Source organism: Homo sapiens, chromosome 5 (genome assembly GCF_000001405.40).
Source record: "Homo sapiens chromosome 5, GRCh38.p14 Primary Assembly".
NCBI lineage: Eukaryota > Metazoa > Chordata > Mammalia > Primates > Hominidae > Homo > Homo sapiens.
In genome coordinates this window covers 38,780,248-38,799,714 of record NC_000005.10, presented here as the reverse complement: position 1 = coordinate 38,799,714, position 19,467 = coordinate 38,780,248, and the positions used below count along the sequence as shown (strand labels likewise).

At 41.7% G+C, this 19,467-nt stretch overlaps 2 long non-coding RNA genes across 3 annotated transcripts in view; one reads left to right on the top strand and one right to left on the bottom strand.

The window, feature by feature from the left end:
- OSMR-DT (OSMR divergent transcript) overlaps window positions 1–19,467 on the top strand; it is a 152,617-nt gene that overhangs the window by 46,115 nt on the left and 87,035 nt on the right. The window contains exon 2 of the long non-coding RNA NR_109951.1: window positions 3,246–3,362. This is a non-coding gene — a long non-coding RNA (OSMR divergent transcript). The remainder of the gene's footprint in view (window positions 1–3,245; window positions 3,363–19,467) is intronic.
- Window positions 4,117–16,420, bottom strand: LOC107986414 (uncharacterized). 2 transcript variants are annotated; one of them, XR_007058740.1, is made up of 2 exons: window positions 16,191–16,420; window positions 4,117–7,458 (listed from the first exon to the last, which is right to left on the bottom strand). It is a non-coding gene; the product is annotated as an uncharacterized LOC107986414 (long non-coding RNA). The 2 variants fall into 2 exon arrangements; XR_001742645.2 differs by having other exon boundaries at window positions 16,069–16,383.

The window sequence follows — 19,467 nt, the reverse complement described above, 5'->3', positions numbered from 1 at the left end:
GTTGGCTGAACACGAGGCTTAACGAAAGTTAATTGAACATATGAGAGAACAGGAAGATCCTCAAGTCTGAGGCACCTGGGACACCCAGGAGGCCAACATGTGGGTTACTCAAGGTAAAAGAAGAAATTGAGAGAAAAGGTACAAAGTATGATTTCCCCAGTGAAACACAGAGTAATAAAAAGGACACTTCTTAATCTGCGTAGGTTTTAAGAAAAAGAAAAAATCCGAGGTAATGCCTTCGTCCACGCAGGGGTTAGATGACATAGCTCCACCTCAGATGTTCCTCAAGTCCTGTGTATGCCCTAAATAGATCTCCAATTCTGGTGAAAATTGGAATTACGGGGACTTTTCAGAATACTACTGTCTGGTCCCACTGCAGGAAAAGAGGCTGATGTCTTTGGGTCAGCAGCTGGCCTGTGCATGGGACTTTTAAAAGCTCCTCAGGGCTGGGCACAGTGGCTCATGCCTTTTATCTCGGCACTTTGGGAAGCCAAGGTGGGAGGACTGCTTGAGGCCAGGAGTTTGACTTGAGACCAGCCTGGGCAACATAGCAAGACCCTATTTTTTTAAAAAAAAAAAAAAACTAGCTGGGTGTAGTGGCGTGGGACTGTAGTCCTAGCTACTCAGGAGGCTGAGGTAGGAGGATCTCTTAAACCCAGGAGTTTGAGGCTGAAGTGAGGTAGGATTGTGCCACTGCACTCCAGCCTGAGTGAGAGTGAGACCCTGTCTCTAATAAAAAAGCAAACAAACAATAACAACAACAAAAAGAAATAAAAGCTTCTCAGGAAATTTACTGTGTAGCCAAGGTTGGAAACAACTGCCTAGAGCGCTATGCAACGAACACACACCTGGAGACAGGAGGGCGACAGCAATTATGTAGAAAGGCTTGAGAAAGGAAAATAAATCTTGGGACCCCAAAATCACTAAGCCAAAGGGAAAAGTCAAGCTGGGAACTGCTTAGGGCAAAACTGCCTCCCATTCTATTCCTAAAACAGCTACTAAGATAAAAAAGTTACACACCTCCCTCACACTTTGCCCACAAGGAAATTAAACTCTAAGTTATCCCCCCTGCTTACGTGAGACAAATGCATATCTGATTGCTTCCTTCGCCCTATTGTTTAATGCAACCATTCGTCTTTTATCTACCTAAGACCTGGACCCTTCCCACTTCGAGGTGTCCTGCCTTTTCGGACCAAACCAATGTACACCTTACATATATATTTTTTGATGTCTCGTGTCTTTCTAAAACGTATAAAACCCAGATGTGCCCCGACCACCTTGGGTATATGTCGTCAGGGCCTCCTGAGGCTATGTCATAGGCATGTCCTTAACCCTGGCAAAATTAACTTCCTAAATTGATTGAGGCTTGTCTCAGATACTTTTTGGTTTACAGGCTTTAAGCTTCAACCAAATGTGTGTTTTCACATTTCTTCGTTTTAAACTTATTTGTTGGTCACATCGTATTAGGTGAGTGTGAGGAAGCTAGTAATAGGAACATTAATATCAGTTATAATATTCATACTGATTTGGGAGTGCCAGGAAGGGAAGAGCGTGGTCCCTTTAAATGATCTGGAAAGGGGGAGGGGAAGTGCCGGGTAGAGGAGGGCGTGGTCTCTGGCTAGGGCTCTACCCCCACGGACCTAGGTGGGGACAGGCACTCCTGCATTCCTGCTCAAATGTTGCATTTTCCAGGACCACTCTGGCCCGCGACACCCCCATCCTGTGCCTATAAAAACCCCGAGACCCTAGCAGGCAGACACAGGTGGCCAGACGTTGAGAGGAGCACATCAGTGGAAGAAGACACATGAAGCTGGTGGGCGAGAGGACGTCTAGGGGAGCATGCTGGTGGCACACCGACAGGCCGTCCACCAGCAGGCCATCCACCGGTGGAATGAGGTGGAGTTTGGCCGGGGCAGTTGGAGGAGAGCCCGGGCCACCGCAGCCCACTCCGGGGGAAACCAGCTCCCTTCTGGCTCCCCCATCTGCTGCGGGCTACTTCTGCTCGATAAAATCTTGCACTCATTCTCCAAGCCTAGGTGTGATCTGATTCTTCTGGTACACCAAGGCAAGAAACCCCGGGATACAGAAACCCCTCTGTCCTTGTGATAAGGAAGGGGGTCTAGTTGAGCTAACAAACAAGCTGCCTACAGATGGCTAAACTAAAAGAGTATCCTGTAACACATGCCCACTCGGGCTTCAGGAGCCATACACATTCACCCCTAGACACTGCCGTGGGGTCAGAGCCCCCACAGCCTGCCCTTCTGTATGCTCCCCTAGAGGTTTGAGCGGCGGGACACTGAAGAAGCGAGCCACACCCCCATCGCACACCCTGTAAGGGGGACAAAGGAATTTTTCTCGTTTCAGTACTAAGAATGTTACCCAGAATAAAGAGTGGGCCTTTTCTTGCATAAAATCCTAGCAAAAACTCCAAGAGAAAAGCGGGGACATTGGATCACAGTCGGTAGAAGGTACCTTAGGATCTCTTGGCATCTGGGTGATGAAGGCAGAGAACAACATGATAGGCTCAGAGGTCGGGGGGGCTTCAACTATCCTCAGATATCCCCCTCTAATATTGGGACTAGAAGTTCATAGCTTTAAAAGTAGGAAAGAGCTTTAGAAATCATCTAGTTAAACTTATGTTGTTAATAGATATTTTTTAAAACTGAGGCTCCATGAAGTAAAGTATCTGACCCAGGAAACCCAGCCATTTAGCTGCAGAACCAGAAGTAGGGTGGAATCTTTGAACAACTGGCCTATTACCTCCCTACCCTTCAGATGCAAGGGTTGATACTCAAGTGCCCTTAGGAGCAGTCACCTGACCTAAATTCACACCCAAGTGTTCATGACTAACATAAAATGTTTTCTTTCCAGGAGGTAGTGATAGCTGGGTGGAAGGCCTTAAACTTAGGAACCTTAACAAGGGGAAAGAAAGGAAAATGTCAACACTGATGGAAAAAGTCAAAGAAGGGTGGCTGGGCAGGAGAATGAGGGCAGAGAGATTTCCATAGCATGGGTGAGTACTGGGCCTCCAGAGATGAACATGAGGCCAACCCTCCCGGGACATGGGAAGCAGGAGAATGACTGTGTTGAATATGTTTACAAATGGACACATATTAAATTAACAAGTGCCAAAAACCACCCACCCACCCTCAGCTCAGAGGAAGCCCCCAAAGCCTGGCCCCAGATGACTCAACCCCCTAACCAAGAATCACTTGCATTAAGGCTATTTCTGCTTCATCCAAAAGGTTTTCAGTGATGTTGAGAGTCAACAGGAAATTAATCAGCAAGTAGAAAATTGAAAGAAGATCTGCATCTTACTGCAGGAGTCATTAAAATAAAAGCAGATTTGGCAAAATGGCAAGGTGAGTTTTTTTTTAATCTCTCTCTTACCATGTTACTTAATAAGTTGAAGATTCCAAAACTAAAAGTCTAAGGAACAGAGGCTCCTTGGAGAATAGGGTACACACTGTCCTAGGTCCTGTACCCCTCTGCTGAGCACGCCAGCCTGGTCGCCATCCAAATAGCTCTCTCTGCTTTCTCAAAAAGTCCCTGGAAACCCGTCCATGCTCTGACACGGTCTATTTAAAACTCCCTGGACTCATCTCAGGCCACATCTCTGTCTTGTATTGTTTCATTTGCCTCTCCCCGCTAAGCTCTTGGGGGGAAAAGCTTTTTTTTCTTTTCTTGTTTTGGAATGATTTTATTTATTATTATAAGCCTGGGTGGAGAATGTACTTCCTTGCTTATCATGCAGTTAAGTAGAAATATAAAATAATAATAATACCTGGATGCGGTAGAGAACATAAAACTCTGCCTATCATATAACCTTTGCTCTGCCATCCTGAATATCTGGGGAAACAGCTTCCCTTGGTCTTCCTTATTACGGCAACTAAAAACCCCAAGACCCTAAATTAAAGAACTGATATATGGAATGATGGTGAGAAAAAAATCTTTTTTCTTTTTCACTAGTTTCTGACCTGTTGATCTTAAAAAGGTCCCTTTCTTTTCCTGCCCCAAAGTGCTTGTGAAGAGAATGGATACTGAGTCAATGTACTTAGTATGGGGTCTCAGTTAAGATCACTGGGGTTGCAAACAACAGAAACCAGCTCCAGTAGATGTGAGCAAAGCAGGAAGTTTATTGGAGAATCATTAGAGTTTCTCACAGAACCCAAAGACAGCATTCAGGGGCCATGCTCTTCTGTTTTCTCCCTCCCTCTCATTTTTATTTCCTGGGTTTTACTAGATGTGAGTTTCATGAATGCGAGGATTTTGTTTGATTTGTTTCCTTCAGGCTTGCCCATGCCTAGCACAGTGCCTGGCACACAGTAGTTGCTCAATCCGCATTTATTACTGTATTTCTCTGCAGAGAAGCTTCCTACATTCCTCTATGGGCATGCCAGAAGGCAGTCCCCCACCGTATCCAAATTTCTGTCTTTGAAGTTCAGGATGATGTCAAATGTCCACCCCCAGTCCCAGTTGGTCACCTCTGGCCAGGGGATGTAGTTTTCTAGCAGACAGCTTGTGGGAAATGGTTTGTGGCAATCCCCAAATAGAGCTGTCTTTTGATTAATAGCAAACTAGAAGGAACTCCACCTGTTCCCATGGCATGAAACTTTCTTGCAGCTTTGCAGATGCGTTATCGAACAATCTTTCTTCGGACATCTCCAGGGACAATGAGAGCACTGTTTCTCAAGATCTTCTTGCTCCATTTTTTAAAACACATCTAATTATTAGGAAATCCATACATGCATCTGTCTGAATTTTACCTTCATTAGTCCAAACTCTGCCTTTCAGAGCCATAAAGAGTAAGTTTCTCCCATATGACGACTCAAAAAAGTGATTTGAAGAACATGATTATGTTGCTTTGAAGTCTTTTCCTTGAGGTCATCAATAAATGCTGTCCATGAATTCATTATATTTAGGATTGCCTCTTTCTGATTTCTTTAAAATGATAGAATCAGTAACTCAGTGGTGGATGGAAGATGGGCCTTGGAGACGTTATACTGCATGATCTTTGTTCCCATCCAAATGAAAGACTTTATGGGGGTGCTCATGGTTTTATTCAGCTTTCCTTTACAGACAGTGGGTGTTGGTCAGTGGTGACATCTGTTTTGAGGAATACATGTTACCTGCTGGAAATAAATGGCTAAAGGAACTAAAACTTACCAACTGGTTCCTCTGGAGCAAGGAAGATCTAATTGGTAACCTCTGGCTATTCTCGAGCCTAATGGTATATTTATTAACTCTATCAGCCCCTTTATATCTTCTTGCTATGGTTTGGCTGCTTCTCCACCCAAATCACATCTTGAATTGTAGCTCCCATAATTCCCACATGTTGTGGGAGGGACCTGGTGGGAGATAACTGAATCACGAGGGCGGTTTCCCCCATACTGTTCTCGTGGTAATGAATAAGTCTCACAAGAGCTGATGGTTTTATAAGGGGAAACCCCTTTTGCTTGGTTCTTTCATTCTCACTTGTTTGCCACGATGTAAGATGTGCCTTTTGCCTTCTACCTCCCTAGCCATGTGGAACTGTGAGTCCATTAAACCTCTTTTTCTTTATAAATTGCTCAGTCTCGGGTAAGTCTTTATCCGCAGCATGAAAACGGACTAACACACTTCTCTTTTCAAAACTAAATATACTCATTATTTTAAAATTGAATTCATATCATTTAACAAACATTTACAGAGCACCATTTTTGAGGAATTGTACTAGTTGTTGCAATAACAGATAAAGGACACGATTGCTACCTTCAAAGAATTCATAGTGAAATGAAAATAGGAAGCTGAGTAAACAGATGATTTTAATTTAGGATAAGTGCTTGACAAAGGCATAGATTAGGACCATCAGCAGTGTGCAGGAGGAGAGGCACTCAACCAGGGTGTGAAGAGGTCTGGGGACAGGGAGCTCAGAGAATGCTGCCTAGACTACCAAAAGTGGTGCCTGAGATGAGTCTCAGAAGATGAGTAGGAATTAGCCAGATGAAGAAGGATGGGTATGGGAGGAGGGAGGATAGACAGGCAGAGGTTTGTGTTTGCAAAGCTGTGGAGGAATTGACATACAGTTTGTTCACAGCATGACTGGAGCATGGAATATAAGGGCCAGAGTAGCAAGACAAGAGCTGAAGTAGGACAGATATGTGTGGGCTGTAATAATTGGCTTTTTGCTACCTAACAACACACCTTCAAAACCTAGTGACTTCAGACAATAAACCTTTATTATTGTTCACGAGTCAACCAGTCAGCTGCAAAGCTCTGGTGAACTGGCTGGGGCCTGTGTGATCACCACTGGGCTCACTAATGTGTCAGGGGTCGAGTGGCAGATTGGGGGCTGGCTGGTCTTGGGTGGCCTCACTCACTTGCTGGCCATTGGCTGGGTGAGAAGGCAATGTGTTTCTCGCTGTGTGTCAGGCTAGCCTGAGCTAGTTCACACAGTGCTGCCAGGAAGAGTGGCAACATACAGGCCACTTCAGACCTAGGGTTGGAACTGGCATATCATAACTTCTGCCACATTTTATTGACCATGGCAAGTCACAAGAGCACTTCAGATTCAAAGGACAAGGGCATAGACTACCTCTTGATGGCAGGTGCTACAAAGTCTTATTGCAAAGTCTCTCTATATAGGAAGGGATGAATAATTGTAGCCATTTTGCAATCAATCAAGCATAGGAAACTTACATGATTGGAGTTTATCTTGGCAAGAATGGGGAGGGATCAAAAGGATATTAAATTTCTTAACAGTTAATTTTCATTTACGCATTAACATTAAAACACACTTACATTTAAAAAAAAAAGTATGTCAAATGAGGTTAAAATCTCCTGCCAGCCATGTTCCTGTTGAATAAGATGAGGCAGACGATGTTTTCTGGACACCACTTTCCAGATCTTGGGCAGGTTGACACACGGACCATTTCCCAGCACCCCTTACCCCTGGCAGTTCAGCTAACTAGAAAGCCACATAAATCTCCTTATCCCTCAGGCCATATTATTTAGTTCCCATGAGGATCTCATGGGAAACATTTTCAACTGCCTCATGAAATCCAGGCCCACTATGTCTACAGCATTCCTTATTGATTCATGGTCAAGTCAATTAAACCTGTGAGGAAAGAGAGTGAGGATGGTCCAATCCAACTTGGCTCTCAAAATCTCCCTTTCCAGGCACTAGCATCTTCTTTAGTAACCCATTCTAGAAGGTTGCTCAAGTTCTGTACTGCAGTGACTATTATCTGGGGCATCCACATTGATCCACTTTGTGAAAATTGGTATCCAGTTTTCAGCCATCACCAAAGTTCCTTAAACACAATAAGTTGCTTCATCCAGGGTCCTCTCAGTTCCCAGAGATGAAATTCAATTCACAATGGCCCTCAAGCTTAATATCACTGAGATGGGCCAGATTCACTGGCTAGCTCCTCTCATGGCTGGATCTTCACTTCTCTCAGGCCAGGGAACCTCAGTCTTCTACTTGACAGGGGGAAAAAGAAAAAGAGATGGGGAGAAATGGAGGGAAGAAAAAAGGGAGGCAGAAATAAAGGGAGAGAAAGAGAGGAGAATTGAATATGTTTCCCTTTTGATTCTGCCATCAATTTATATTGCATCACACACCCTGTTTGACTTACCACTAATTTTTTTTGAATCTTATTTAGCACTTAATTAAAAATAAAACTTTGGAATGTTATTCTGTAAGTAATCATAAGAAACTTTTAGTAGTGGTTACATTTGGGAAGAGGAGGGGGGCAGGTTTCATAGAGGCAGGAGATTTCAGATTTTCCTTTGGTGTTTTTCTCTATTGATTGAATTCTCTAAACATGCCAAGGAGATTTATATGGAAAATGGAATTATGGAAAATGTTTCTGGTTTTTCCCCTAATTTCCCTCCCTTTATTAAAAAATATTTTTACAAGTGAAATACTTACTGTTGTTTCTACAGCAGCAACAAATACTATGTATACATAGAGTGCTTACTTTGCACCAGGCGCGATGCTAATGTGCTCTGCTTACATTATCTGTTTGGTTCTACAACAACCCAGTGGAGGAAGACTTCTCACACACAGTTTAAGGATGAGGAAATGAAGGCACAGAGCAGTTATTCAACTTGTCTAAGGCCACACGGCTACTAAGAATCATTGCCAGGATGTACCTCCAGTTTTATAGGTTTTGGCCACCGTGTGACGACTCCTTCCCTCTTTTGATGGATATCCAGAGAGCACCTTGGGCAGCTACCTGATTCTTACGACCACCCCCTCCCAGTTTTGGACCATCAGAGCTGTTGTCAGAATGTCTTCATAGGAGTCTCCCAACCTTCTATTTTTCCTTTGAACTTTGAAAATCTACCTCCGAATATTGCAAGCTCATGTCTAACTGAGCTAATGATATTCCTCCATTTTCCCAAAAGTTTAAGCTGCCACTGTCTTTTAGTTGCTATTTTCTTAACTAACTAGTTTGTTCTGATGGGTCAAAATTAAGGGCTTTTGATAAGGAGAACAGTTATTATATTTTTTCAGACTTCTGGGAGATGAAGCCACATGAAGAATTTATTGCATTTGTTGTTCTTAGCTGACCTTACCCTGATTTTACCACATAATAAAATGCTTTGAGTCCTGCATTCTACTGGTTACTTTGGGTTTTGTTTGTTTGTTCATTGTTAACCACAACTGAACTTTAAGTCTGGGAATAGTTTCCAAGTTTCTGGAAATAGTCAGTAAGTGGCTCTGCCGTCCTTCTGATGTTGCTATAGATCAATTTTGAAGAGAAACCCAACCTCAAAATCTTCTTTGATTCCTCTATCTTACTTGTTTCTCCCTCCTCCATATTCGATTAATGACTCTTCTCTTTGCAAAATATCTCTTACTTCCTACTTTTACAACCATTTTTACCACAGTAAATAAAACAAGTTCAGGCTTTGAAACTGCTTGACCTATAGTATGGCATTAACTCCTAAACTGGACTTGTAGCCATACAGATAATCTCCCCAGAACCCATCCCACCCTGAATGGTGAGTCTCTACCAATCTCATGAATCCCACCCCCCTTTCCAGTGACTGACCTAAGAATGGGCAGATGACCCAGTTCTGCCCAAAGAGATGTGAGAGGACATTTACTATCTGCCTCTAGGGAATGATTTCCTTGCTTCTAAAAAGTAGGCATCAGGTCCTTTGCCTCCTCTGGATGTGAGGCATCTGATGTGATAGCAGACTCTCTTGTGTCCCTTCCTCCTGTGCGGCACACAGGCCTGCCCCTCCCCTGCATTCCTTGTTATGTGCAATTGCAACCATTTCCATTTTAAAGTACATAGCATCCCAACAGATACACCAGCCCCTCTGCCTATAAATATCTCACTTTTCATCTTACTCATGCCAGATTAACCACCCCAAACATTAAAACTCTTTATGACTTCAACTTCTCTTCTAGTTACCTTGAGTGAAGGGAATTGAAAATGCACAGTCAGGATTCAAGGTTGTAAGATCTGTACAATGTTGTAACTTTGTTAGTTCCCCATGCTTATTTTTTAAATATCATGCCATGTTTAGTCATTTTCATTCATTCAACAAACACTAATTGAGCACCTATTGTCAGTGTTATGCGATACTCTGGAGGTACAAAAGGAAAATGAGTAAGAATCAGTTCCTGCCATCAAAGAAGTTACAACCTAGTAGCGGAGTACAGCAGGCACAAAGCCTGCCCTCTCAGTAGTTGCCCCCTCCTTTCTTGTTAACAGAACCTCAATTTTGTTTGGACAATAATGTGTCCAGCCAGAAGGGATGCCATGTAATTTGTCTAGGAGTGAGCATGTGAATGAAACCTAAGGGAAAGTCTACTGGGGATTTTGGGAAGGATTCCCCTTCTGATAAAAGATAGGAACCAACTACCTACTTCCTTACTTGTTGAGGCCCTGTTGCATGAGACCATGATGTTTGGAGCTCTGGCAGCCTTCTTGAAACTGAGAGAAAGGCCTGTCATAGAGATGCTCACCAGTGCCATGACATCACTGCCATGATGATCCAACTTTGCAATCGCCTATGTCCAGACTTACTTTTTATGAGGTAATCAAATGCCTTTACTGTTGAAGCCACTGTAGGGTTTTCTAACCAAAGCAAGGTAGAAAGCCATGAAAATAAGTATTTTAAATACAGTATAATAAATGTGATTATAGAGTTATGCATAGGAAGGCAGTATATTTAGAGGTGTACAAAGATAAATAGTATTCTCTCCCTGACCCTAACAACCACAGTCAAGGAGGAAGCAGACCCAATTAATGCAGGTTTGTTGTACATATAATAAATACAATACTAGAAATATGCACAGAGTAATATGAGAATATCAGAGGAAAGCCTGACTCAGGTATCTGTAATGTTTGCTTACAATGTGAGTGAGCTGAAGTATTTTTTCAGGAGCGTCACAGATGTCATGTGGCGTCCCTCTTAGTGCATCATGTCAGTGGAAACATGGTGTCAGTTTGTCCCACTACTGGTAATGTTAAATTAGATTATGAAGCACCAGAGGTATTTGCCAGATTCTCCTTGTTAAATTTACCATTTGCTTTTGTCATTAATAAGTATTTTGTGAGAAGATATTTTGAGACTATGGAGATATCTTGTTGCATGTCAAACTTTTGTACACTAGTTTTAGCAACTGTTGGTGATTCTTCATGAATCAATCACTGCAAAAATTTTGTAAAGTGATTTTGAAACTCTTTTATTCTTTCTATATTTATTTCATGGCATTCTACAAAGGGAGAAGCTTTTCCTCATCCCTCATTTATTCTTTCATTCATTGACTCATTTAAGTCAGTATGAATTTATGGGTTTCCATTTTCTTTGGTAGGTAATCTGTAAATATTATTTATTCGGATGCTTGAATTATCCCAAGTTTGTCAATGGGAGCCCCTTCAAACATCTTTCTGTGTCTCTATTCTTTGAGAATTTATTTATTTCCCAAGATGATATTCCGGGCTGATCTTGAACTTTTCCTGTCCTAGCCATGAAATAAGCTGTATCTTCAAGTGACCCTGCTTTCTTTCAGTGGAGAATAGTGTAGTATTTAGAGACAAAAAAATCTGTGCACTATATGTGCTCATTGCTACTGAACTGTAATTGCTATGAGGCCTTCTCAGGGACGTAAGAAATAGACATATGTGTATACACCTCTATGCATACATCTATATCCATGTGGATGTAGATATAACATGTCTATATACCTGTTGATATATAGATATAGAAGTAAAATAATATCTATTGGTCCTTTGCTTTAGTTAGAAAACCCAAGCATCAGCCAGTTGCAGTGGCTCATGCCTGTAATTCCAGCACTTTGGGAGGCCAAGGCAGGCAGATCATTTGAGGTCGGGAGTTCAAGACCAGCCTGACTAACATGGAGAAACCCCGTCTCTACTAAAAATACAAAATTAGCTGGGCATGGTGGCCCATGCCTGTAATCCCAGCTACTTGGGAGGCTGAGGCTGGAGAATCGCTTGAACCTAGGAGTTGGAGGTTGCAGTGAGCTGAGATTGAGCCATTGCACTCCAGACTGGGCAACAAGAGCGAAACCCTGTCTCAAGAAAAAAAAAAAAAAAAAGAAAACTCAACCATCTATAAAATAGATAAATATGTATCGATATAAATCATGAATTTATACTGATACTTCCAGTTCTAATTCAACATACTGTTCTTTGACAGTGAGAAATCTGGCCCTGTTATCCTAAATATATTTACCTGTTTAATCCTAGAATATACTGAAAGCAGTTTCATAATTGCTGATCCATACAACAGTGATAAACAACTCAACTAACTAGACTTTAATATTTATTCATCATTCTTATCTTCAGCTTAAGGGTTGTATTAGCCTGTTCTCATGCTGCTATTAAGACATTCCTAAGACTGGGTAATTTATAAAGGAAACAGGTTTAATGGAGTCACAGTTCCACATGGCTGGGAGGCCTCACAATAATGGTGGAAGATGAAAGAAGAGCAAAGGGACATCTTACATGGCAGCAGGCAAGAGAGAGCTTGTGTAGGGGAACTCCTCTTTATAAAATAATCAGATCTCATGAGACTTATTCACTGTCATGAGAACAGCACAGGAAAGACCCACTGCCATGATTCAATTACCTCTCACTGGGTCCCTCCCACAATAGGTGGGAATTATGGGAGCTACAATTCAAGATGAGATTTGGGTGGGGCACAGCCAAACCATATCATTCCACACCTGGCCCCTCCCAAATTTCATGTCCTCACGTTTCAAAACCAATCATGCCTTCCCAACAATCCCCCAAAGTCTTAACCCATTTCAACATTAACTCAAAAGTCCACAGTCCAAAGTATAATCTGAGACAAGGCAAGTGCCTTCTGTCTGTGAGCCTGTAAAATCGAAAGCAAGTTAGTTACTTCCTAGATAAATGGGGATGCATGCATTGGGTAAATACACCCATTCCATATGGGAGAAACTGGCCAAAACAAAGGGGCTACAGGCCCCATGCAAGTCCAAAATCCAACACAGCAGTCAAATCTTAAAGCTCCAAAATGATCTCATTTGACTCCATGTCTCACATCCGGGTCACGCTGATGCAAGAGGTGGGTTCCCACGGTCTTGGGCAGCTCTGACCCTGATGGATTTTCAGGGTATAGCCTCCCTCCCAGCTGCTTTCATGGGCTGGCATTGAGCCTCTGTGGCATTTTCAGGCACGCAGTGCAAGCTGTTGGTGGATCTACCATTCTTGGGTCTGGAGGATGAAGGCCCTCTTCTCACAGCTCCACTAGGCAGTGCCCCAGTGGGGACTCACTGTGGAGGCTCCTACCCCACATTTCCCTTCCACACTGCCCTACAGAGGTTCTCCGTGAGGGTTCCACCCCTGCAGCCAACTTATGCCTGGACATCCAGGCATTTCCATGCATCCTCTGAAATCTAGGCAAGGGTTCCCAAACCTCAATTCTTGACTTCTGCACACTCACAAGCTCAACACCATGTGGAAGCTGCCAAGGCTTGGGTCTTGCACCCTCTGAAGTCATGGCTTGAAGTCATGGCTTGAGCTGTATCTTGGCCCCTTTTTGCCACAGCTGGAGCACCTGGGAGGCAGGGCCTCAAATCCCTAGGCTGCAAGAGTAGGAGGGCCTTGGGCCTGGCCTATGAAACCATTTTTTTCCTCCTAGGCCTCTGGGCCTGTAATGAGAGGGGCTGCTGTGAAGGTCTTTGACGCCCTGGAGACATTTTCCCCATTGTCTTGGTAAGTAACATTTGGCTCCTTGTTACTTTTGCAAATTTCTGCAGCCTGCTTGAATTTCTCCACAGAAAATGGGTTATTCTTTTCTATAGTATTGTCAGGCTGCAAATTTTCTGAACTTTTATGCTCTGCTTCCCTTTTAAACATAAGTTCCAATTCCAAACCATATCTTGGTGAATACATAAAACTGAATGCTTTTAACAGCACACAAGTCACCTCTTGAATGCTTTGCTGCTTAGAAATTTCTTCCACCAGTTGCCCTAAATCATCTCCCTCAAGTTCAAAGTTCCACAAATCTCTAGGGCAGGGTTAGAATACCACCAGTCTCTTTGCTAAATAACAGCAAGAGTCACCTTTGCTCTAGTTCCCAAAAAGTTCCTCATCTTCTTGTGAGACCACCTCAGCCTGGACTTTATTGTCCATATCACTATTAGCATTTTGGTCAAAGTCATTCAACAAGTCACTAGGAGGTTCCAAACTTTCCCACATCTCTCTGTCTTCTGAGCCCTCCAAACTGTTCCAACCTCTGCCTGTTACCAAGTTCCAAATCCACTTTCACATTTTTGGATATCTTTACAGAAGCACCCCACTACCTGGTGCCAATTAACTGTATTAGTCTGTTCTCATGCTACTAATAGAGACATACCTGAGACATGGTAATTTATAAAGGAAAGAGGTTTAATGGCCTCAAGTTCCATATGGCTGGGGAAGCCTCACAATCATGGTAGAAGGTGAAGAAAACCATCAGAAAACCTTTATAAAACCATCAGATCTTATTCACTATCCCAAGAACAGCATGGGAAAGACCCAACCCCATGATTCAATAATCCCCCACCAGGTCCCTCCCACGACTTGTGGGAATTATGGGAGCTACAAGATGAGATTTGGGTGGGGACACAGCCAAACCATATCAAAGGTATACCTCTATTATACCACTTTTGACCAATTATTTGTTTACAAAATGTTTTTCTACTAGAACATAAGTGCATTGAAGGCAGGGACACATTTTTGCTTTTTTAAAAACGTGTCCAAAGCCTAGCAAAGGATCTGAGACATGTAAGGTACTCCATCAATGGTAGTTGAATTAATCAATGAATGACTCAAACACTCAATTATTCCCATTGCCTATAGGAGGAAGTCTATTATTCAAAGCTTCTTACAAATCCTGTGTCTCACATTTCCCTAATGGATCTTCCTGTACATAGAACCAACTATCTATCCAACATATCTTGCATTCCCAGCCCTCTGCCCTCTTATTTATGCTATTCTTTTTGTCATGAATGTTATTTCTCTAGTCTTTCCACTTTAATATCATTTAAATAAATCTTTTTAAAAATATCTCATTTAAATCTCTCTTTTTAAGAACAAAATGCTCATAACATATTGCTCTGAATTCCTTAGTCTGTATATACACTAAGTTATATATAATATTATATATGTATATATAATCATGCATCATAGATACTTTATGCATATGTTCAAACCTTATGCATTTCAGATTGCCATGCTGTCTGTCATCTTCAAATCCTGTGCAGTGCCTATGGCAGTGCTATGCAAGTAGATGGCAATAAATGAAAACTTGCTAAATCAATGAGTGAGTGGCAGGTGACTGTCAGTTATGTGAGTGCAGGCTTCTTAGGAAGTCCTCTAATGCCATCCCAATCTCTCTAATAAAGTAAGTTAGGCTCAAAATACTACTTTTAAGGATTTATTCCTTTGGCTTCCTCTGAATTTATCCTCTTAGTCTCATTCTTAATTTTTATTATTCCAGGATGCTGGCAATGTTTTCCTCTTGATTCTTTAAAAGTAATGGTAGAACCAAATACCCTTCCTATGGTGGACATAAAGGGCTTCAAACATTGAATGAGGTCCTGCAACCAGAGGCCAGATTTCACATCGGTACACAGTGCCTTTTTAGGCACTCTTATAGAGATGACAGTTTTCATCTGTGATAAGATGAGGAGATAAATATGCGCAACTCTGTCAGTTGGTGCCTGCAGATTGTAAACGACAGTTCTCACAACAAATATCCACAGCTGTCCTATGATTTTTGGCCCCCACTTAATGTTGCATTTGCTCCAAAATAATTCTCCTTTGACCTGTTTAGGTTTAGCCTAGCCAAAAGGTACTTTAAACACAAACCAACCATTATTGGCCTTGTGAATGCAAGAGCCAATTCAAGCAAAATTATCAGTTTCCCAGGCTCTTTGGAAATTCCCTTGATGGTGAAGAGTAAAGTACATATCACCTATTGGGACTTTTGTAGGTTTTAGCTGAAGTCTCACCTTCAAAGGCCAATCCTGCCCTACCAAAATATTATAAATTCCAGACCCTGGATCGGAAGCCACCATCCTTAGAACACCTTCTAGTGTCTTTACAAACCCAAAGGCAACACCAACTGTCAATTTCCTATGAGGAGAAACATTCCCTTCCTCAAATTGTTTTCTCTTTGAACCTACCAGTTTTCAATCAATCATCTTTACGTTTAGGCGCATGTGTTTTTTGTAAACTCTTTCCACTTTGGAAAGCAGGCAAATGGCTTGCTCCTCTTCTCCTCAGCTCATCCCTGTATCAGCATAGCTAGCCTGACCCTAAAATCTGCCAACTTTGCAGATCCTTGTAGCAAAGAAGATATCAGAAACTGAAGAATACTGTCCTTCCTAAGCCCGGTCACTCTGTAGTGGTGAGCTGGGGATCTTGATCCAGGCAATATCTATTTCACAGAGAAATATGATTACTGAGTGAGGCTGAATGGGGACAGAGACTAGAAGTACGCATTTGTTGATTCAGCAAAGAAGACTCTGTCCTTCATAGAATATTCTCACCATCCTGGACTCCCTTTGCATCTTGCGAGGCTTACCTTTACCAATCACAGTCCACGGGGCTTTGTTATTCAGTCAGGCCTGTCAGTCTCATCCTGTCCCTGTGGAAAAGCAACTCAGCTGCACCACAAATGATTTTCAGTCCAGCCTAACATCTTACCAAATTTTCCAGCTGGATGGACAACAAGCCTCATGAGATTGAGAGATGTAACCCTGGGTTACAGAGTGAGTCAGTTACTCAGCTATGTTGTAAAATATGGGCCCATTCTGGCTTCCAGTACATCTCTCTAACCAGCAGACCACATAGTCCCTCTTCTGCAATAGGATCAGCTTGTCTGCAGAGAAATAGAATTAAGCTATTAGCAAGTGGTTTCTGCCTCTTGCAGAAGCACCAGCAACAATAGCCACTTCTACATAACGTTTTAAGAGAACTGTTTGTGTTGGCAGTGCTTCACTATATTACACATTCCTGCCACTTAATTGTCCTTGCAAAGATAAACAAAGACCTTCTGAAGCAGAGCTGGAAGCTCTATAACTCAGCCAACCAAATGTTTGTTAAATGGAGGAGGAAAAAAGGGGTTGGCTGTATATATTCAGCTGTACTCTGAAACCACACCATCTTGTCTACACAGTCAGCCATTTCCGGAACTTCTGTATCCCTCCCCTACTGCCTTCAATTCTGAGAGAAAGCTTAAAAATATTTTTTAATTCTTGATCTCATTATTATCAAACTACTTCCTCTGACCTTCAAAGCTGATTGGCAAGTTCAAAGCTCACACAAGGTTTAGTATCCACATTTTTGATGTTGCTCTTTAAACATAAAACTAATCATAGTGGATGTTGATGAAGATAGTGAACAAACTTTCAAATATCTTAGTTGACATTGGTAAAGGACCCCTATTAACTAAGAGCTTTGTGGGACATAGAACCAAACATGAGCTTCTCTTTTGATAAAGACAAGAAAAAAATTGTTGATACACAGTTTTTCTTCAACTCCTGTGTGCGGTTTCTGGCCCAAGAGCCAGGGCCAGATATGAAGGAAATTGAGTAAGTCAATTCCTGCCCACAATGAGTTAACAATCTAGCAGAATGGTGAAGTCATGAGTTTTAGAGGTGGCTGATACCTTTTTCATTGAGACAGAAAAATTACCCAGTGGCTTTCCTGGGTCTTTAGAAACATTGAAAATTAAGTCAGTTTCTGAAAGTCATATTTAGGGGTTGGGTGAGAGTAAGTGTGACATTCATTCTGGCCACACTGTATACTTCTGCAAGTAAGTTCATGTTTGTTATGCCCCATGTATTCTATTAATATCAGGAAACTCATCAACTGTGGGGAGGCCACTTTATGAATGTGGGTGTGTGTGAGAAGGAAATGGAAACTAAATCTCCCATCTGCAACTCTCAGCTGCTGATCTACTGATAGATATAAGAAGAAAATGCAAGGAAACTGGTTACTTTTAAATTACCTTTTATCATTGGATTGTTAGTAAACATGAATAAAATACAGGTGAGTATCCCTCATCCAAAATGTTCAAGACTAGAAGTTATTTCAGACTTTGGCTTTTTTTCAGATTTTGGAATATTTGCCTGTACATAATGAGATATCTTGGGGAAAGAATCCAAGTCTAAACACAAAATTCACTTGTTTTATATACACCTGGTACACATAGCCTGAAGGTAATTTTATATAAAATGTATGTACAATACAAAGTTTGTGTTATTTACATGTGAAATTTTCCACTTGTAGCATCATGTTGATGCTCAAAAAGTTGTGGATTTTGAAGCACTTTGAATTTCAAATTTTCAGATTAGGGACCTGAAAATAGCTAAAGTAGCTTAACCTGTGCTACTAAGCACAGGTTAAGAAGAAAATACGTTATAAGCTTTATGAATTAACTGAAGGAAAAAAGGGTGTCTTGAGGTGCAAAGGACCTAAGAGATGAACTGACCACTGCCTTTGCACGTGCTATTGCCTGTGTCTGGAACACCACCACTCTTTGCCTGGCTCACAGTTACTTTTTGTGTAGGTCTCAGTTTAAATGCCACCTCCTCGAGGAAGCCACCCTTAGTCCTTTCAAGTTCATACCCCTCCTGTGTGACCCCATATCCTTTCTCAGTCTCATAACACATAATTTATTGCATTTTGTTTGACATTACCCTACTCAGCACTGCTCAACATTGACCCAAGCTCTGTCAGAATAAAGACATTGTCTATTTCACATGTTTATGCCCAGAGACTAGCACACAGTAGGCTTATAATCAATATTTTTTTAAATGAAAGAACAAAATTATCTCTCTTCTTCATGAAAAGAAGGCAACAAGAAGTAGGTTTTAATAGTGCAGCTAGTAGAGGAGGGGCGAATTCATTTCCTATGGCTGGTATAACAAATTACTACAAACTGTGTGGCTTAAAAGATCAGAAATTTATTTTCTCACAGTTCTGGAGTCCAGGAGTCTGAAATCAGTATCCCTGGGTAGAATCAACACCAACACTAGGTGGTGTCCGCAGGGCTTCCCTGCCTCTGGATGCTCTTGGGGAGAATCTGTTTCTTGCCTCTTCCAGCTTCTAGTAGCTGCCAACATTCCTTGGCTTGTGGCCAAATCACTCCAAACTACAAAGTCAGCATCTCCAAATCTCTCTCTGCTCTGTCTTCACATTGCTTTGCCCTGCATGTATGTGTCAAATCTCCCTCTTCCTCTCTTTTAAGGATACATATGATTGTATTTAGGTCCCACTCAGATAAAATAGGATAATCTTCCTGTCTCAAGACCCTGAACTTAAGCAATATGCAAAGACTGCCTTATAAAATCCCATTCACAAGTTCCAGGAGGCTTAGAAAGAAAAAACATTTTCATGATGATAAAGGAGTTAGCAAGAAGAAGTAATTTGATAAAGAATAATACATTCATGCACTGCATATCAATGTTTCATTAAATGACAGACCACATATACAAGGGTGGTCCTATAAGATTATATTGGAGCTGAAAATTTCCTAATGCCTAGCAATTTTATAGGCATCATAATGTCATACCACAATTACTTTCTTTTTCATGAATTTAGTGAAGGCTAAGTGTATCATGTTTATAAAGTCTCCAGTAGTGTACAATAATATCCTAAGCCTTTACATTTATTCATCACTCACTCACTGACTCACCCAGGGCAACTTCCAGTCCTGCAAGCTCCATGCATGTTAAGTGCCCTGTATAGATGTAGCACTCTTTATCTCTTATACTGTATTTTTACTGTACCTTTCTATATTTAGATACACAAATACTTACCATTATGTTACAGTTGCCTCCAGTATTCTGCACAGCAAGATGCTGTACAGCTTTGTATCCTAGGAGCAATAGGCTATAACAGGTAGAGTAGGCCTGTGGTAGACTCTACTGTCTAGGTTTGTGTAAGTACACTCCATGATGCTCATACAATATCACCT